The sequence below is a fragment of the Homo sapiens genome, chromosome 7 (assembly GCF_000001405.40).
Source record: "Homo sapiens chromosome 7, GRCh38.p14 Primary Assembly".
NCBI classification, from domain to species: Eukaryota; Metazoa; Chordata; class Mammalia; order Primates; family Hominidae; genus Homo; species Homo sapiens.
The window spans coordinates 87,502,776-87,524,490 of NC_000007.14; the positions used below are offsets into that span (position 1 = coordinate 87,502,776).

The window sequence follows — 21,715 nt, forward strand, 5'->3', positions numbered from 1 at the left end:
ATGATTATATGGTATTCCATTTTGTGAATGCACCAAAACTTAATGTATAATTTCTTACTGTTAAATATTTAGATCTTTCCAATTTTCAATATTATAAGTAATGCTACTAAAAGTATCCTTTTACATATCTCTTAAATCCTTATAATTACAATTGCTGTCTTGAAGGATATACATTTACATTTTTTACTTACATTATCAAATAACAAAGAAGTTTATATCAATGACCAATTCAACTAATAAGGAATGTCACATTAGATTTTTTTATTCATCATTAAATTACAAGGCAAAAAAATGATATTTTGTTTTAATTTGCATTTATTTGATTGTTGAAACTGTATACATTTTTCTCATGCATTTCTTCTTTGAGAATTACCTGATTATATCCTTTCCTATTTTTTTTTCCTGGAGGTGATGGCTTCTTTTTTTTATTTTTAGAAGTTGCTTATTTAAGATAGCAATTGTTTATAGTAAATATAGTTTATAATGTTAATAATGCTTTTTGGCTAATTTAAAAAAATTTGTCGTCCAGAGTCCCAACCTTTGGAATATATTTTTTTCTTTTTTTATCATGTTTGTATCAAGATGTAGTTAAACTCATGGCACATTTTAAACATCTGTAAGTCAGAAGGATCACTTTTGGAAGAGGCCAATTACTGGCAAAAGTGATTCATTATCAAGACAAAAAGTAAATGTACTTTGGAAGTGTAAAAATCTTAAAAAATCCTTAAAGAACCCTTTATAAAAGCAATGCAAAGTATTTACTATACATCTGAATAATATGCACTTCATAATTGTGCCTCACCCCACCTCCTAAAATCTTATATCGATCTGTGTTTTGGGTTTGAGAGCCACCTTAATGTGGAAATGCAAGAATCAGCAGGATCAAGTCCAAGAAGAATGAAGCCAGATGGTTCTGTAAGACCCAATGTGAATAGACATATACAACAGGAATTATTTAAACTGCTTAACCATTCCCACAAAAATGAGTAGGTATATTTAAAGAAAACTTTTTTAAAGCAGAAGTTATCTACAATATTCCAATTGAGAGAAGATATATTCACAGGCAGTTTGGACAAGATGACTCCAGTCACATGAAAGTTTAGTTTTATTATAGACACTTTATGCAAACATTTCAATACTTTTTGCTACTTCTATAATCTTTTAGCAAGGCAGTCAGTTACAGTCCAAATGGGAAAATATAAACAAAATTACACATTTTATCTTTTAAAATCTACTTTAATTCTGTTATAAAATTTATAATGCAGTTTAAACTATGATTTCTCTCCACTTGATGATGTCTCTCACTCTGTTCCTTTAATTACGAAGTCTCTGAAGACTCTGAACTTGACTGAGGAAATGTTAAACAGATACCTCTTCATAATTCTGTAAGTGTTTGCTTTTAACTTTGAATAAATGTCATATCTAAACAAATATTAAAAAGTATTTAACATCTCATACAGTCAGAGTTCACTGGCGCTTTGTTCCAGCCTGGACACTGACCATTGAAAAATAGATGCCTTTCTGTGCCAGCAGCTGCTGATGCGTGCCATGCTCCTTGACTCTGCCATTCTGAAACACCACTATTAAGTCTGCATTCTGGATGGTGGACAGGCGGTGAGCAATCACAATGCAGGTGCGGCCTTCTCTGGCTTTGTCCAGGGCTTCTTGGACAACCTATTCCATAATCACATAGATTAATTCTCATAATAGTTCTTTTCCCTAATTCCTCTTCCATAAAAAGCTCCACAGTAGGACGGGCATGGTGGCTCACGCCTGTAATCCCAGCACTTTGGGAGGCCAAGGCGGGCAGATCACAAGGTCAGATTGAGACCATCCTGGCTAACACGGTGAAACCCCATCTCTATCAAAAATACAAAAAATTAGCTGGGCTTGGTGGTGGGTGCCTGTAGTCCCAGCTAGTCGGGAGGCTGAGGCAGGAGAATGGTGTGAACCCGGGAGGCAGAGCTTGCAGGGAGCCAAGATTGCGCCACTGCACTCCAGCCTGGGCGACAGAGCGAGACTCCATCTCAAAGAAAAAAAAAAAAAAAAGCTCCACAACAATACAACAATAGATCCTTCTTAACAAGGTGTCAGTGAAATAGAACAGGTTTTTGAAAACAAAGGATTTGTCATATCAGATGACTGAACCCTAATTTGGGTTAGTTCCGAGGCAGCAGTTATCTATCCCTAACTTTTTTTTTTTATTTGAAACAGGGCCTCACTCTGTCACCAGGGTGGAGTGTAGTGGTACAATCATGGCTTACTGCAGCCTCAACCTCCTGGGCTCAAGCGATTCTTCCACCTCAGCCTTCTGAGTAGCTGGGACTACAAGTTCCCACCACCATGCCTAGCTAATTATTTTATTTTTTGTAGAGACAATGTCTCTCTGTGTTACCCAGGCTGGTCTCAAAAATCCTGGGCTCAAGTGATCCTCCCACCTCAGCCTTCCAAAGTGTTGGGGTTACAGGTGTGAGCCACGGCAGTAGGTGCCGGCCAGCAGTCATCTACTCTTAAAGTTAAGGCAGTAAATACAGTTCACTGACTCATTTAAAAACATTTACTAATGTGTTTACCTTAGTTTCAAGGATGTTACAACATCCTTGAAAACAGACCTCAAATCCAGCTCACAGTAAATTCAAGAAGCCTGAGCAAAGGCCAAATACAGACTCCCGAATTTTTTTATTGTAGAGAATACCTCATACTGAGTTCGTCTTTCAGATAATCTGAATTTTTAACGTTTTCTCTGACTAGAAATGATTGCTAATATTTATCTTAAAAGGTACAGCCAGATTTTAACACTGTCTTACACTACCACTTTTCCTTATGGTTGCTGAAGAGATGCTGCCAGTAGAAGTAGGAAATATGGTTCCTGAAAGCAGCTTCTTAGGTCAACGCAAACTGATCTAGTGATGGTTTGTGAAGCATATGTGCTCTAAGACTAATCTGCCTTGTGTCATCTTTACTCTCCTGAATAACAGCTACAGAAAGTGTTTACATTTTACTGAAAGGTGATGTAAGTAACTGTCAATAATCTGGCTGCATTTTGTTCTTTACTATGGAGAATACAGCATTTTTAAGGATGACTGATTCAAGTATGGATGAACCCAATTTAAATTCTTACCTTTTCACTTTCTGTATCCAGAGCTGACGTGGCTTCATCCAAAAGCAAAATATGAGGCTGTCTAACAAGGGCACGAGCTATGGCAATGCGTTGTTTCTGGCCACCAGAGAGCTGAGTTCCTTTGTCTCCTACTTTAGTGCTATATTTCTGTAAATAAGGTTTTGTTGTTATGAAAGTAGAACTGAAAGTAAAGTTCTAACAGCTTGCTTATAGAAAGTAGGATAGACGATTCTATATACTCCAAAAATTTAGGTTCAGAAGCTAAGAATGGTTCATGAATAATTAAGGAAAGAACAGTAAAAAAGCCCAAAATGGCAGGTTTACTATCTATTTGAAAATAAATGTTTGGGCCTTAAGATGATATGTTTTAGTGTAAACAGGTCAGCATTTTAATGAAGAAGAATATTGTTGCAATGTTAGTATCTTCCATCTTCTGATTTCATTATATTTGGGACAAAGATTGGCAGGAGAAAGGAAATTTGATTTGAACAAAGTATTCATAATAAAATAATTGAAGCTCATCTTACTTGTAACCAGCAGGTGACACTCTCTGCATGATTTTAAATTGAGGAAAGACATTCTTGGGATATCAGCCTTTTAGTGTCTGTTTTTATGAAAGTATCTCCAACACTTAAACAATTTTAATGGATGCTATCAAAATGGATTCCATTTTGATATCTAACTTTGAAAATGAACATCTCCTTTTTAAACATTTTTGTTGTTAGAGTGCTCCCAAAATTCTTCCCGTGTTGTTTCCCACAATGGATAATTGTCACCAACTATTCACTATGATGATAGGGACAGCAGTTAAAGGTTACTCAGGAGAGAGCAGAAACAGGATGTGACTGCACTTGTAACCTAGAAAACAATACTATCTTATTATTTCCAGGCTGAAATTTTAGTACAGGGTTGCCTATTTTTATTTGCTATATCTGGCAACCCTAGTTTTGTGGCACTCAGCCCTGGGTTTCCCCCTGTAAATAGAGGGAGAAGACGCCAGATGAGGTTTTGGCAGATGCTTGGGACTGGCTCTACCCCAGAGCTGTGGCTGTCTCAGAAGGCAGGAGCACTGAAGTGTATCTCATGTGAGTGGAGGGTTTACTAGTTGCACTCTTGATATAGTACTGATCCTGTTGAGGCAGATAAAGGCAGTGCGGCAGTCTTACAAGGAGGTAGCTAAACCAGCCACCTACAGGGTGAGGTAAATCCTAGTATTAATCACTTAGGAGAAGTGGATCCTTAGGTAATAGGACTTAGGGGTTTTACCTTTTCTCTCCTGGTCTAGACACTGAGGAAGAGAATTATGGTGTCTACAGGTGTGTTCTGTGTGACAGATTAGAGACCAGGATTTGTCCTGTGGTAGACAAATGCCAGAGAGGCAAAGTATATTTAAAAAGATAGATAATAGTTACTCTCTGTGTTTGTGTTTTATTAACCCCTAGCCCAGTGGTTCCCCAATTTGAGCCTGCAACAGTATTACCTGGGCTCTTAAAACGTGGATTGCTGGATCTGCAGTCCTAACAGGTTCCCAGGTGATGCTGATCCGTGTCTATACTTGAGAACCACTATCCTCTCATCAGTAAAGGGGATTGGAGCTTTCTGTTTTAAATGTTTGAGCCTGGAGAAGGGTCAATTATCTAGTTGGGCTAGACTGTGAAAGGAGAGTGGGAGACAAGGCCACCTCCCTGGGACTTAATGAGATTGGTGTCAGCAGTTATCCAAAGAAGAGCCTATGGAAGAAGGGAATCTTGGGAAAGAGAGCCACCTGGTGTTGCTTGCCTGCCTCGTGAGGAAACTGTCTTCCCCGCCGGGTTGAGGCTCCTGAGCTTTGTTTTAGGGGGCACTTCCTTAGAATAAAGAGCATAACTGGTGATAATGGGTGAGGTAGATTACCTAGGTTGAGAAGCACTTCAAAATATAGGACCTAACTTTTGCAGCAACATGGATGCAGCTGGAGGCCATTATCCCAAGCAAAGTAATGCAGGAACAGAAAGCCAAATACTGCATGTTCTCACTTATAAGTGGCAGCTAAACATCAGGTACTCATAGATGAAAAGTGGCAACAATAGAAACTGAGGACTATTAGTGTAGGGAGGGAAGGGGGGTAAGTGTTGAAAAACTACCTATTGGGTTCTGTGCTCAGTACCTAGGTGACAGGATCATTTGTACCCTGAAACCTCAGCATCATGCAATATACCCAGGTATAATAAACCTGTACATGTACCCCCTAAGTCTAAAATAAAGGTTGGAAAAAATCTAATTTTGGACTTTTAATACAGGTTGAGCATCCATAATCCAAAAAATTCAAAATCTGAAATTCTGAAACTTTTTGAGCACCAACATGATGCCACAAGTGGAAAATTTCACACATGATCTCATGTGACAGGTCACAGTCAAAACACAGTCAAAACTTTGTTTCATGCTCAAAGTTATTAAAAATTTGTATAAAATTGCCTTCTGGCTATGTGTATAAGGTATACATGAAATATAAGTGAATTATGTATATGCAAATATTCCAAAATCCAAAACACTTCTGGTCCCAAGTATTTTGGACAAGGAATAGTCAACTTGTATTCCAAAACAAAACAAAACACAAAAACTAATACACAGGACCTAAGAGGGCTTGAGAGAGGATGAGAGGTTCCATTTATCCAACTTCCTAGGAGGAATTCAGAGGACACCCATAGGACCACAGCCCAGGGAGCCCTAGAAAAGATTTCAACCATTCACTGTAAACAAAGTTTGGGGCCCATGAAATGTATGACGATGAGAGATTACATGATACCATGGTCACTTTAATGGTTCAACCCTTATTCAGAGAGAGCACTCTTTCTGGCATGGGTTCAGCCCTCTGGACTGGACTGACTCCACAGTGAGTTTTGAGGCTTGGGAGAGAGCTGCAAGGAGGAAGAAGGAAGAGAAATAGGGGAGAGACATGGGGAGAGACAGTCATGCCTACTTCCTCAGCAGGCCAGAAGCAGCATGTGCAGGTGGGGACCCAGACTCTGTACTTGGACTTAAAGTGAAAGGCTTTCCAGATATTGTACTTACCCCTAAGGCTGACAAAGGTGGAGCCTCAAGCCTATAGCTTTGGATCAAGACAATTGTTCCAGTTCTCCTATCCCAGAAATGTTCCTCTCTCCTAAACCTGAAGTGGTCGAACACTTTCATCCCTTCCTCACAAGGAGGGTCAGGTGATCAGGTAAAGGTAACAACTAACCCAAACAGGAAGTGTGGCCAGATGCTTGTATACAGGTAAGGGTGTGATTTGGTTGCTAATTTCTCTTCACTTCTGGGAGACCAGCCCCTTATAAATCAAACTATAGGCCAGAGAGGCTGCCACATGCTCCCAGGCTGTTTATTTGAAGAGAGACTTACATTAGGCAGTGACTCGATGAAGGCATGTATGTTGGCCTCCTTTGCTGCCCTCACAATCTCTTCCTGTGACACCACCCGGCTGTTGTCTCCATAGGCAATGTTCTCAGCAATGCTGCAGTCAAACAGGATGGGCTCCTGGGACACGATGCCCAGGTGTGCTCGGAGCCACTGAACATTCAGTCGCTTTATTTCTTTGCCATCAAGCAGCTGAAAACAAGAGTTCACAGATCAACTTCAGGACCAGCACACTTTGAATGTAGCACAATTAACATCATTATTTCTTACACTGAAACTGCCAAGTTACTGTGAGATTAAGGAAAAGTTTGTGTGATTAAAATTTGGATAGTGAAGGTTAACCCAACAAGGTCATAATTGTATGCCTTGAGGAACTGTCATGTTTCCTGTGTTTCAACCATGGTTTCTGATGTATGCATGTGGTAGGCAGAATAATGTTCCCTCTCCCACAAGACATCTGTGTCCTAATCCCTGGATCCTGTGAATGTGTTATGTTACATGGCAAAAAGAAACTAAAGTAGTAGATGTAAGGTTGCTAATCAGCTGACTGTAAAATAAGATTATCCTGAATTATCTTGGTGAAACTAATGTAATCATAAGGGCTCTTAACTGAAGAAGAAGGAGGGAGAAGAGTATCAGCAAATGCAGTGTGAGAAAGACTCAACCAGCCACTGCTGGTTTTGAAAATGGAGGAAGGGGCCACAAGCAAGAAAACAGATCATCCTTTGGAGCCTCTAGAAGGAACACAGCCCTCCTGACACTTGATATGAGCCCACTGAGACCTATTTTAGACTTCTGACCTCCAGAAGTGTAAAGTCATAAATTGGTGTTGTTTTAAGCCACTGAATTTGTGGCAAGTGGTTATAGCAGCCACACTAATACAACGCCTAATACTTCTGAGATGTATCCTGACAGCCTTATTCTTAAATCTCCATTTTTCAGAGAAACAGTGCCCAGGATTAGCATGGAAATAAATAACAACTATGACCACATAATAGCTTTGCAGGTCAGGAACTACAGGGGATGGATAGGTGAACAGGGGTAGGAAAGGGTGAATGGAGATCCTCAATACTGAGCCAGATGAGTAGGAACAGAGGGCTGCCCTTTCTCTATAATCTGGCTCCCTGGATTATCCTGCAGAAGACTGGGGAGGGCACCTTACAGCCTTGCTGATAACAAGCCCTACTCTGATGCAAATATGTCTATCAGATAGGTCTGCTTTGCAAGATAATTTTCTGGCATTCAAGTGAGAGAGCTGTTCATCCCTTCTGAAGAAGGCACCAGTGACTCAGCTTTGAGCTTTTCTAATAGTAGTGACTAGTGCGTGCTGAGCCATATACTCTCTGTATCCCATGTGCCTGGCTGGGTGGCTCAAGGGGACAGCTGCCTAGCAGTAGAGTACAATCTTTGCTACAGGAACATGGCTTCTGCTTGTGACACTGGCAGGTGCAGGGATGGAAGCTCTCCCATAACCTTATTAGTTCCAAGCTGAGTTGCCATGGAGACTATTCCACACATGTATGCTCCAGGCTTCCTTACAATGTTAATAAATGAAGGTGGAAAGTAGAGGGTGGAGAGAGACAGTGAAAGCCAAACAAGGATGTGGCTAAGCAGCAGATCTTGTTAGATAAAACACTGTACTTGAGAAGTGGAAATTTAAGGAAAGGAGGAGTTTGGTTTTTGCTTTTGTTTTTGTTGTAATTTTCCAGGTTTATACCCCTGGGAGGAAAACAGACACTGCCTAACTAATATAATCACAGGCAAATCTGAATGATCTCAGCAAGTTATAATGAGTTTCTTCATTACACTGAATACACTCTTGGGCCTCCTCGTCCCCGCATAATACCCTAGAATTGCAAACTATTTAAAACCTGTGTTGACTGAAGAATTCTTTCTTTAAGTAAAACAAGTTTAGATGCCTAGAATGTAAAACAGATCAAAGAAGCAGAGCTTCTTTGGCTGAGGAATGGTGTTGGTCTGAGGAAAGACCAAGGAACTCTGGGGAATCTATGAGAAGTGCTCAAAAAATCCTGGCCTAAATAAAAATATAACTAGGAAAGTAAACCTATTGGTAAGAAATAATGAAAGGCCAGATTAAAATGATTGGCTATCTCTATTGTAGACTGTTAAGTCTATTGCTTGCTTTCATTAGCGCAAAAATGTAAATGTTAAATGTGTATTCTTCTATGCATATTTACTGTGAAATAATAATTGATTTTTAAAAATCAAGCACTGACAACGTTGTAGGTTCTGTGATAAGCATGTCTCATACAGTCTCTTGTTTAACCTTCATAGCAACACTTATAAGGTCACTGTGATGTTAATTCCCATTTTACTGATAAGGAAATGAGCAAAGTTAAGTAACTTATACAAGGTCACACAATTAGTAATTGGGGGAAAACCAAGACTGGATCTAAACACTCTAGGTTGGGTTTTGGTAACACTAATACCTCACAACTGAAAGATATTTTGTGTCCCCCCTTGAAAGGGGAATGCCCCCATCTTGGCTCAGGCACTTCTTGGGTTATAACCAGACAATGACAAGCAGCTTCTAATTGTATCCCAAAGGGGGTTCTGACTGTTGTATATGGGAGAGACTGGAAAGGGGAGAAAGGAAAGGTAAGGGGAAGACTCAAAGCAGGGGTGATTTAACAGTGACACTGATGAAGGTTAAGCTTCAAGAGCCCTCAATTACATGTAAATTCTGGGAAGTCGAACAGTTTTCTGGGTGGGAGGGAGGCAAGGCTGTAGTCAGGAAGCTCTTCCCTGTAAGTATTGATGATAAATTACCTAAAAATGAAAAGGGACCAGAATCTTTAAGCTTCCAGTATTTGGTTATGATTTTTTTTTCATTTGAAGTAAATATCCACCTTTGTATCTAATTTTGCATTAAAAAAAAAATTTTTTTTTTTTACTTTAAGTTGAATCCCTACAATTGTATAACCTTCAGGTCCCTCAAAACTTGGAGGATCCTCCCATCTTCACAATTTCATAGCTTAATTATTCAAGACTCTCCACAATTTAACCTAAATCTTTCTTCAAATTTACCAGTTCAGTGGCTCTCGAATGATGGTTGGCATCAGAATCACCTCGGAATATTATAAAAATAAAAGGCCAAACCCTAGCCTACTTGAATAATCCAGGCCGGCTGTGTTTTTTACTAGCTCTTGAGGCCATTCTAATATTCACCGAAGCTTTAGAACCACCATTTCAGGTCAATGTTTTTCAACATGGGATTCAAGGTCCACTGATGGTCACGAGAATTTCCTGACTTCAGGGGGTCCTTAGGGTCCAATCCTTTCTTTAATTCTTATGCTCAAATCCACAGACTCATTTTTACATGGCAATAAAAACTAATTAGTAGTAATCCACTGAGTTATTCAGGGCTACTCATTGATGTCCATAAACAAAACTTTGTACATTTACTAGAGTTTATTGTGGACACTTTCTGCTGAGAAGTCTGGCTGCAGTGCACCATCTGGCAGTATTTCCAAGCCCTAGTGCAAATGCACAGGAGAAGATAATGGATATTCCTGCAATAAATGAGGACACTTTGTTTTCAGTGCATTATCAATAATGTCTTGGGATGCTTACTGTCCTATGCACTCAGCATTCATTTTCATATACTTCTGTGTCTGACCTTTTATACATCAAGGGACTAGAAGGCTAAAAACTATTTCCCAGTTTCCCTTGGTTCTGGAAGTAAGTCAGGGTCTACGAGGGAGATGCACAGTGTAAAATCTGGGAGGTAGACACCAGCTCTCCTTCAGCAGCTGTGGTAAGCTAACGGCTTAACTCATCTTTGGCAGACAAGAATTTCTGCAACAGCCAGATTCTAGTCTCGTGTCTTTAAATTTGGAACAGCTGTGATATCGGCATAATTTTCTGCAGCTTCTTGGTTACAGAATCACAGCTGCAGTGCTGTGATTTGGAAGTCTGGGAGCAAATAGCCTCCTTTCACTCTTCCAGCCCTTCCAAAGATTTTGTAAGCATGTAATTCCCTTTATTAAATACTTATCTACTTGAAATACCTAGGGCAGTTTCTGTTTCCTACTCTGAACTGTAACTGATGCTGTCCATGTTTTATTATGTTCTGCTTGTGTTTATATACTTGCAGAATAATCATTAATTATTCCTTATTGTATCATTATTGTGCTGTATTGTATTGTTGTTTTCAACTCCAACATTTTGTTATCACCAAGTGTTTTTCCCACTGGAAAGTGACTATGAGTACATTAGTGGATGGTGACATCTTTAAATCTTTCCTACATGAGTTCTCATCAGAGAAGTTTGAGAACCACTACTCAAACTAAACTCCCATTTCAGCCAAAGTGTCCTATTTGCTGCATTGGGAACAAATCACTGATCGCAGCTTGTATTTTCTCTTACATTGAATGTCATCCCTACTGTTCACCCATATGCAAATCCTTATCTCTTAAGAACTAGCTCTAGGCCTATCTCCTTTAACTCACAAAACTATATGCCCCATCTCCTCAGTTAAAGTATTTGAGGGCAGATATCATGCCCTACAATTCATTATAGCACAATCTTTAACACACCACTTAATAACTGTCTGTTGAGGGCCATAATCAGTGTCTGAGAGCTAACATTTCCTCCTCTAATTGCTTTGGCTGTCAGCGACGTCTTTATTTAGAGTCCTGTTTTTAAGTTCACCACAAAATTGAAGGACACAATCAGAGTTCACAGAAAATATAAAGCAAGAGAGTAAAAGTAGGGAACAAGCTTGTAATGATTTAAGAGTAAACTGAATAAAGGCATAACTGTCTTTGAATACAATAACAAACATTTATGAGTAAGAGTGACCGCTGTGAGGAAGTAAAAAGAGTCCTAGACTAAAGATTGAAAACTCTCTTTTCATTTGAGTCATTAAATGCTACCAGCGTCCATACACAGCGGGTGGGCATCCATCTGACTTGTACTAGCAGGCATCCATTCTGATTGGTCAGTGTCCATGCTGTTCCCATTGTTAAGAATTTTAAATATCACTTCTCAGTACAACTAATTACATGCCTACATAATGAAAATGTCTTGCTCTTAATTCTATTCCTTCCTAGTTTGTCTTCTTTCCTATCCCCCATCATAGTCGTTTAAACTCACTACTCCCTGCCAGACACTTCCCTCATCCCCAGCAACTAAGACAAAAGGGCATACTTCCATGTTCTTTTTACATTTCCCAAATTTGTTGATTCTACTTTTTTTTCCTCAGATGATGTTTCAATGCCCTCTCTCCATCAATGATTTTGTCTCATCCCCAGTCATAAAAATGCTCAAGAGTTCAACCCCTAAACATTTTCCCTGGACTCTGCCTCCCCACTCAAGTGCTGTCCTTATTTGCCTTTCTTTTACTTTCCATCTTCTTGATAATCTATGCTCACTTACATCTCCATTTCTTCCCCTAATCATACTTCAGCCACCCTTAACTGTTTCCTACCATCACTACTTCACTAAGAATATTTTAAAATGTCAGAAATAGCCCATTCATTGCTAGATTCTATCATGTCTTCTCAGTCTCCTCCTTACCCAATCTCTCTATACCATCTGTCATTGCTGACCACCATCTTTGAAACAGTCTCCATCCTTGGCTTTCATCTCACTCCTAGCACCTGTCCTGTATCTTTCTGGCTACTTCCATTTTTGTTGGTTCTTTTCAAGTCAGCTGAAACCTAAGTACAGCAAGGGAGACAGGTGGTACAAAGGGTGCTTGCAAAGGAGGGTAGAGGGGTAGTGTTGAGGGGAGCCTGGAGAAGTTGGCTGGGACAGATGACACCACTTGGAGACCATATTTAGGCTCTCAGACTTTATCCAAGTGGGACTGTTGTTTAAAGGTTTGAAAAAACATGGCTTATAGTTGAGAATTAAATACATTCAGACATTTGGATGATGAAAACCTGAACTGAGCTAAATGTGAAAGTGTGCTCACCACTTTCCCTGCCAAGGGGTCGTAGAACCGCTCCAGGAGCTGGACCACTGTGCTCTTCCCACAGCCACTGCTGCCCACCAGAGCCAGCGTCTGGCCCTTCTTCACCTCCAGGCTCAGTCCCTGAAGCACTGGGATGTCCGGTCGGGTGGGATAGTTGAATACAACTTCACCAAATGTGACATTTCCTTCCAATGTGTTCTGCAATGAGAAGAATAACAGTAAATTTGAATGCTGCAATACTGAAAATAAAGTGTATAGCTAACTCTCTCGATTACCAGGTGTCAGAAGATAATTAATTTGTGTTACAATTGGCTTCACTTCAAACTGCTAGAATTTATTTTATTTTAATTTTATTATTTATTTATTTTTTATTTTTTTGAGACAGAGTCTCACTCTGTCACCCAGGCTGGAGTGCAGTGGCATGATCTCAGCTCACTGCAACCTCCACCCCCCAGGTTCAAGCAATTCTCGTACCTCAGCCTCCCAAGTAGCTGGGATTACAGGCGTGTGCCACCACACCCAGCTAATCTTTTTTTTTTTATTTTTATTTGAGATGGAGTTTCACCATATTGGCCAAGCTGGTCTCGAACTCCTGACCTCACGTGATCCACCCACCTTGGCCTCCCAAAGTGCTGGGATTACAGGCATGAGCCACTGTGCTTGACCTCAGACTGCTAGAATTTAATAAATGAGATCTAAAAGAGTAAAAGCTTTCATAGCATGTATTGTTAAGACAATATGAATATGCAATACAGCTACAATAACTCAAATCTGTTCCTCAGGAATACAGTAACTTACATACAATAAAATCTGATAACCAGCCTGGGCAACATAACGAGACCCTGTCTCTACAAATAATTAAAAAATTAGCTGGGCATGATGGCACACGCTTGTAGTCCCAGTTACTTGGGAGGCTGAGGCAGGAGGATCGCTTGAGCCCAGAAGATCAAGGCTGCAGTGAGCTATGATCATACTGCTGCACTCCAGCCTGGATGACAGAGTAAGACTCTGTCTCTAAAAAAAAATTGTTTTTAAAAAATCTGATTAATAGGTTTTGCTTATAAAGTGAGCAGTATTCCTATTTCCCTATAACCTTTGCTACGTAAAAGTACTGAATGTTGATGTATATTATTAGCAGTAATTGAAAGGAATCTATGATCTAGGAAGTTTTATTTTATCATCAGCATATTTGAAAGTACAAATTTTATTAAGTTTCCACTTAAAATACTTTCATTCAGGAGTCAGGAGTAGATCAAACAGTTGAAACATCAAACTCACCGGCATTAGGCCTTCCGTGCTGTAGCTGTCAATCAAAGGGGTTTTTTCAATGATCATGATGATGTGGGCTGCTGATATTTTGGCTTTGGCATAGTCAGGAGCAAATGAACTGACTTGCCCCACGGCCATGGCACCAAAGACAACAGCTGAAAATACTCTGGAAAGCACAAACACAAAACATGTGCACAGCATTACCATCACAATGCTAGAAAGCTGACACTCCTTTTTTTTTTTTTTTTTTTTTTTGAGGTGGGGTCTTCCTGTGTTGCCCAGGCTGGAGTGCAGTAGTGCAATCAGAGCTCACTAAAGATATGATCTCCAGGGCTTAAGCGATCTTCCCACCTCAGCCTCTGTAGTAGCTGGGACTACAACTGTGCATGACCACACCAGCTAATTGTTTTATTTTTTGTAGAGATGGGGGTCTCCCTATATTGCCCAGGCTGGTCTCGAACTACCGGGCTGAAGTGAACCTCCTGCTTCAGCCTCCAAAAGTGCCGGGATTATAGGTGTGAGCCACCATGCCTGGCCAAAAGTTGACACTTCTATAACCAGAGAGCTTTGCCTCTAATAGTTATAAAACAGATGTTAAAAATAAAACAAACACATTTCCTTATAAGTTCATGTCTATGTGATAGATTGATTGCAAAATGGCCCATTTTTTTCCCTCTGTATACCTCTCTCTGTATCCTCATCTTCTTGCACTGTGACCTTTGCAGCACCCTTTGAATCTGGGCTGGCCTTGTGACTTGCTTTGGCCAACAGGATATGGTGGAAATCACTTTTGCCAGTTCCAAGCCTATGACTCAGGGGGCCTTATATGCTTTGTGAGCATGCATGCATGTGTTCTCTCTCTCTTTCTCTCTCTCTCTCTCAGAATTCTGCCACTGTCTCAAACCCAGGATAGCCTGCTGGAGGATGAGGCACACATGGAGGAGAGCTGTCTGAATCCCAACCAACCAGCTACAGACACAATCCACTACAGACACATGAGTAAGTCCAGCCGAGATCCACTATGCCTAATCCAGATCAGTAGAACTTCACAGCTAACCCATAGGTTTGTGGGCAAAAATATGTATGTCTCTGAGGTTTAGTGGCTGGTTGTTACACAGCATTATTGTGGTAATCAACAACGGATACAGTCAGTGATGTTGGAATTACATCAGATTCTTAAAAACCTATGAATTGTGCAACCAAAAGAAAGTTTCTTACAGAGCCAGATATCATGTTGCTCTTAAGATGCATTGACGTTCTTATCTATGACATGGGAATCACAGCAACTTAAAGTTGGGAAGGACCTTACAGGTATCAAGTCCAGCTCTCCATGTTCGTGCCTGGACACCTCCCCTAAATTGGCTTCCATCCTCTGTTTTAGGAAGTAGCATGTTTGATTGTCTATTGTTAAACAGTTCTTTTTCAAACTGAAGAAAAAATTTACTTCCTTTTACATAAGACAGGCCTACAAGTCTTGAAATATTGCTAAAAACTCCTTTGCTTCTTTGATAACTCCTTTCACTGCCCTTCTCTAGACACATTTATTAATATGCTTTTTTTAAACACAAGCCTGGAACAGACATAATACTTGGGAACCCGCCCAGAATACAGGGAATTCATCGCTTTCTTTCCTCTGGACTCTATGCCTATGTTTGTGTAGCATATTGTGTCATTAGTTTTTGTTTGTTTGTTTGTTTAACTAGCACTAAATAAAATACCGATAGTTAATCTTGGACTTGTGATCATTTAAACCTATGGGACCTTTTTCTAATGCACTGTTCTTCAGACAGGTCTTCCTTTTCCTTAACTTGGAAGGTTGATTTTGCAAACCTAAATGCCCCAATGTCAGCAACTTTCATCAATTCAATTTTTTGGAGTAAAGCAATATATCAAATAATTATCTAATCAAAGCCCCAATGCCAGTGATACTTGGTTTTGATCTCTAGGCCATAATCACAAATAGCACCTGCATATCATTTGTCCAATGTACATCTTTAATGGAAATTTAGATGTCTTTTTGGGGGTCATCCTGAGCAAACTGTAATGCATGAACAACTCAATGTTTAAAAAGGACAGAAATACTATACTAACACATTATACTGCCAGGCTTATATGATTCTGGTTTAAATATAAAATTATATCGCTACTAATTATGTTATGCTATCAAGAGGCAGAATCTTACCCACCTCCAAATCTAGAAGCTCAGAAAGATTACACATACTTTTGACCACCAAATTGCATATTTGGGTACTTTTGTAGTATAATTGCTTCAGGCTTATCTTCCTCTGACCGAGGTACAATTATCTACATTCAGAACAATGTAGCAGAAAAATCCCAATATAACTTTTCCTTTGTCATTTCTGAATTCATTTGGCTCTTACCTTCCAATTCCTCTCTTATCAAGGGAAAGTAAACATATCCTGGAATTGCCAAAGGCTTGCAGAACTTAGTACAACACATCTGTATTTTACTTGCTCTGTAAGAAAGTCCTTTAAAAGGAGCCAGTCAGACTCCTTGCTCAGGGCTAGGCTTCTTCCCAAATGCCAAGGCCTTCTCAAAATCTCCGAATGGAATCACTCCACTCAGTCACAGATTTGAAAAGGTCAACTATGTGTGAGCCAGCAATGAGGAAAGAAGTTACTGCTCCTCCAAATGAAAGGGGGTGCTTCAATGGTGGCACATGAAGACTCAGAGGCAGAAATGCCGATTTAGGAATCACCAGAATCTCTTCATGAGGCTTCACAGTAGGGTTTCCTATCTAGACATGAAGCATGTTCATCCCAGCTTTATTTTTAGAGCTTAACTAAATAATAGCCCAATACTTACAACAGAACATCCTCAAAGCTCATGAGTTTATGTGCCACCAAGTAGGCTCCAAACCGGAAACATCCAGCATAGGAAAAATACATCATTGCCTGGGTGAAGGAAAATGTAATTCCAAAGATGTGTGCTTTCCTCAAAGAGTTTCTGAAAAGAAGACATTTGAAAACTCATTCCACTTTCATTTCTCAGTCCTTAAAATGTAACTTTTGATAGGTTGGCAGTAGGGCACAGAGGCATGACCAACAAAAATGGGTTTCGTTTCCAAAGAACTAAGTTTGGTCCTCACTTTACACTTAACAGTTGTGCAAATTTGGGAAACTGCCTAACCTCTGAGACTCAGTGTCTTTATCTTTAATGTAGAATTAACTACACCTCAAAGTGTTGATGTAAAGAGAAAATAATCCAATGACTGTAAAGAGCCGGTTAGGGATCAATAAGTAAAAGTTATCTCCCTTTCTCCCCACTTTTGGACACACAGTATGGAAGTACTCTACGTAAATATTCATTCTGCACACAGTTACCCAACACCTACAAGGTGCAGGGGCCATGATGGGTTGACATAGAGGAAACAGGCATGTTCTTGACTTAGGAGACCTGACTTGAGTTGAATTACTATTTATGCATTAGAGGTGCCTTATGAATAATCTGTTATAGGAAGAAAGGAGAAGCACTAAATTCTTCGGGGGTCTCAGAGAAGGCTTTAAAAAGGGGTTGACATTCTAGAATCATGATATGGATCCAGCTCAGTGATATGGAGGTGTGGGTGGGGGCAGGTTAGCAAGTGGGCAGCCCTGGGCTTCCAACCCCTCCTGCTACCAGATCAACTCTGCTTTTACCTTCATCACATATGAAGATTTCAAATAATTTTTTTTTAGACAAAAAGGCTCTACCATCATTTTTTTTAAATAAAAGCTTAAAAATCCATCAATAAAGTCCAGCTTTCCTTTTATTATAAGAAACAGACTCAGAAAGGTTGGGCTTGCTTATGTTCACACCACTTATTAGAGCCCTCACTGGGATGACTGTATTAAAGGAAGAAGGTCTGCACTGGAGAAGGGGTAAAAAGCAGAAAGACAGGTAAACCCAGGAAGCACCATCCTCTCTGTGTCCCACAGGTACCTCAAATTTCAGGTTCCATAAATAACTCATTTTCAACTAGAGCAAATTATAGGGTCATATCCTACCTGGACATCAGATAGTCATTCTCAGCATCATGTCTCCCTCCCTTCTCATCAGTGACCCATTCTTACAGGTTCTACCTCAGAGATGTCCCTGCCTTAGTTCAGGGTCTTGTACTTTCTCTCCTGCATAATTACAACTGTTTCTCAATGGTTTACCTTCGAGCACTTTCTCCACTTGCTCCCTACCTTCTAGCCAAAGTAATCCCTCTGAAAACAAATATGATGATTGAAAAATTATTCACACTCTCCTCCCACTCTTCAGCGGTTATTACCTGTATGGTACCTGCAAACTCTGAGCATACATATGTTCAAACTTCTGCTCCTGAGTCAAAGAAACAACGGTTCGGAAGTTTTCTATTGCTTCAGTAGCGATCTGTAACAGACAGCACCGATCACCAAGAGGCACAAGAGTAAATAGTGGTGATTAATTTGAATTCTATAAAACAGACTAATGAAAATAATTTTATGATTACATATTTATTATTATGTATGAGCATTTTCTCTGTAGAAAAAGATACTAAGTAATTTATCAAACTGAGTTATGGATCTGGAAGGAAGATTGACTAATTCAAACTTCTCCTTTGCAGAAATAGAAGCTAAGACTTAAATGGATTATGGCATTGCTTAAAGCCACACAGCTTTACGTGGCTTCGCAAAATTAACCAGAGAACTCACAGTACTTCTATTGCAGTGCTCTTTCTTCTATGATGATCACATTTTAAGTTCACAGTTATTTTACACTTATTTTTAAAATGTGATGTTTATATTTTTCTCTTTATCATTGCCATTTGTGACAATTGAAGAATGTTTGGAAAATAGTGAAAGAATGCAGGCAATAAAAAGTAAATTTTAGATACATTCAAAGGCTTACTCCTCTCTGCCTGTGGACGCTTACCCCTTTCTGCCCGTGGACGCCACCAAGGAAGCATCCTTAAAGTCTCTCTTTCCCCTGCCGTCATGTCTAAGTCAGAGTCTCCTAATGAGCCCAAACAGCTGAGGAAATTCTTCATTGGAGGTTGAGCTCTACATTGGTTGACCAATGAGAGCCTGAGGAGCCATTTTGAGCAATGGGGAATGCTCATGGATTGCGTGGTAATGAGAGATCCAAATACCAAGCGCTCAAGGGACTTTGGGTTTGTCACATATGCCACTGTGGAGGAGGTGGATGCAGCCATGAATGCAAGGCCATACAAGGTGGATGGAAGAGTTGTGGAACCAAAGAGAGCTGTCTCAAGAGAAGATTCTCAAAGACCAGATGCCCACCCAACTGTGAAAAAGATATTTGTTGGTGGCATTAAAGACACTGAAGAACATCACCTAGGAGATTATTTTGAATAGTATGGAAAAATTGAAGTGATTGAAATCATGACTGACCAAGGCAGTGATAAGAAAAGGGGCTTTGCTTTAGTAACTTTTGACGACCATGACTCCATGGGTAAGACTGTCACTGAGAAATACCCATACTGTGAATGGCCACACTTGTGAAGTTAGGAAAGCCCTGTCAAAGCAAGAGATGGTGAGTGCTTCATCCAGCCAAAGAGGCAAAGCAGCTCTGGGAACTTTGGTGGTGGTCGTGGAGGTAGTTTCGGTGGGAATGACAACTTTGGTCGTGGAGGAAACTTCAGTGGTCATTGTGGCTTTGGTGGCAGCTGTGGTGGTGGTGGATATAGTGGCAGTGGGGATGGCTATAATGGATTTGGTAATCATGGAAGCAATTTTGGAGGTGGTGTAATGATTTTGGCAATTACAACAATTAGTTTTACATTTTGGACCCATGAAGGGAGGAAACTTTGGAGGCAGAAGCTCTGGCCCCTATGCTGGTACAGGCCAGTACTTTGCCAAACCATGAAACCAAGGTGGCTATGGCAGTTCCAGTAGCAGCAGTAGCTACAGCAGTGGCAGAAGATTTTAAATTACTGCCAGGAAACAAATCTTAGCAGGAGATAAGAGCCAGAGAAGTGACAGGGAAGCTACAGTTTACAACAGATTTGTGAACTCAGACAAGCACAGTGGTGGCAGGGCCTAAGTGCTACAAGAAGACATGTTTTAGACAAATACTCATGTGTATGGGTAAAAAACTCGAGGACTATATTTGTGACTAATTGTGTAACAGATTCTTTTAGTTTCTGTTCTGTGGAAAGTGTAAAGCATTACAACAAAGGGTTTTAATGTAGATTTTTTTTGGCACCCATACTGTTGATTGTTAAATGTAATAGTCTGATCATAATGCTGAATAAATGTGTCCTTTTTTTTAAAAAAAAAGTATATTTTACACATTTCCATATTGTTTTTTTCCTAAGTGCATAAATATATTTAAAAAGATTGGAATGAAACTCTATATTTAGCTCTATATCATTATTTTTACCTTCATATCAAAAGCATTTTCCAAGTTCATTAAATACACATTAATAATGAGATGTGTAATGAGTCCTTTAATATCATAACCAATTAAGTATTCCTTTATTGTTGAGCCAGGTTTTCAATTCCTTTTTTATTAAAAATAGTGGTGAGATAAACATCTTTGTACCTAAACATTTGTCCATATTGAATTGGTTTATTAGGAAAATTTCTTAAGGTGAAATTAATAAGTCAAAGAAAACTAACTTTTTTTTTTAGAAACGGGGTCTTGCTCTGTTGCCCAGGCTGCAGTGCAGTGGCAATTCACAGGTGTGATCATCATAGCTCACTGCAGCCTCACACACCTGGGTAAGCAATCCTCCTGCCTCAGTCTGCCAAGTAGCTAAGACTACAAGCACATGGCACTACACCTGGCTTGAATTAATTTTTTTAATTTTTTAAGGAATGTGGCACATACTATCAATCTGTTTTCCAGAAAGTTTTGGGCTGGGTATGGTGGCTCATGCCTGTAATCCCAGCAGTTTGGGAGATGGAGGCAGGTGGATCATTTGAAGTAAGGAGTTTGAGACCAGCCACCATCAACATGGTGAAACCCCATCTCTACTAAAAATACAAAAATTAGCTGGGCATGGTGGCACATGCCTTAATCCCATGCTACTGGGAGGCAGAGGAAGCGCTCGAACTGGCGAGACAGAGATTGCAGTGAGTCAAGATGGCGTCACTGCACTCTAGCCTGGGCAACAGAGTGAGACTCCATCTTAAAAAGAAAGTTTCCATCATTCAATTATGTTGTAATCAAATGTTACTTCCAACAAGGCAATCTGATTAGGAAACATACATCCTTCATCACCTCTGGAGTCTGAGTAAAGGGATATGGAAAAAGCAAAGAACACCAGTGTACAAGATGAGATTTCAGCCTACATCAGCCGCACCACCTTGAACCAACATGCTGTCTCATTTTCCTCATTTGCAAAATGAGGACGATGGACTAGAGGGTCTCTAAAGTCCCTTTTAATGCTATGATTTTAAGAGAAATAACTTCCAGAATTATAAGTCACCAAGAGAAATGACTCTTTATTGTTTAAGATGTTCTTCCTCTCTTTGGCCTCTGCACTGGTCAGAACAGATTCTAATAAAGACACATTTAATTTAGAGTGTTTTATAGCTTAAAATCATAAACATGGAATTCCACTTATTCTTCACTGAATCTTACATAAATTACCTAACTTCAAACATAACAGCAAGCATTTCATAAGACATTAAGTCAGTTTTGAAGACTAATATCAAAATCTATCAGAAGTAAAAAAAAAAATTAGTAACATTCTTAGAAACAAAAACTTATTTAAAAATAAAATTTAAAATATTATTCTTACACTGACAGGCCAAGAAGATTGAATTATGTTTACCACAAGATACTTAGAAAATTAGGAAAATGGCAGGTTTATTTTAAAATATTGTATAAACTTCTTTTACACATTATAAAAATGATATATAGTCACTTTAGAAAATCGTAAAAGTGCAGAAAGCAAAAGGTGAGGAGAAAAAATTCACCTTCAAATTCCCAAAGACAATCCTTTTGTCAGACACATTAGAACCATCATTCTCAGCAAACTATCGCAAGGACAAAAA

The 21,715-nt window shown here is 39.5% G+C and overlaps 1 protein-coding gene and 1 pseudogene across 4 annotated transcripts in view; one reads left to right on the forward strand and one right to left on the reverse strand.

The window, feature by feature from the left end:
• The window catches only part of ABCB1 (ATP binding cassette subfamily B member 1), a 210,279-nt gene continuing 188,805 nt past the window's right edge, over positions 242 to 21,715 (reverse strand). For all 4 annotated transcript variants that reach the window (NM_001348944.2, NM_000927.5, NM_001348945.2 and 1 more), the window contains 7 exons: positions 18,001 to 18,101; positions 16,551 to 16,691; positions 13,734 to 13,890; positions 12,456 to 12,653; positions 6,500 to 6,706; positions 3,122 to 3,268; positions 242 to 1,674 (listed from right to left, as the gene is read on the reverse strand). In NM_001348944.2, coding sequence (NP_001335873.1) covers positions 1,468 to 1,674; positions 3,122 to 3,268; positions 6,500 to 6,706; positions 12,456 to 12,653; positions 13,734 to 13,890; positions 16,551 to 16,691; positions 18,001 to 18,101 — 1,158 coding nt within the window. In that variant the 3' untranslated portion in view covers positions 242 to 1,467. The remainder of the gene's footprint in view (positions 1,675 to 3,121; positions 3,269 to 6,499; positions 6,707 to 12,455; positions 12,654 to 13,733; positions 13,891 to 16,550; positions 16,692 to 18,000; positions 18,102 to 21,715) is intronic.
• On the forward strand, positions 18,618 to 19,837 carry HNRNPA1P9 (heterogeneous nuclear ribonucleoprotein A1 pseudogene 9; annotated as a pseudogene).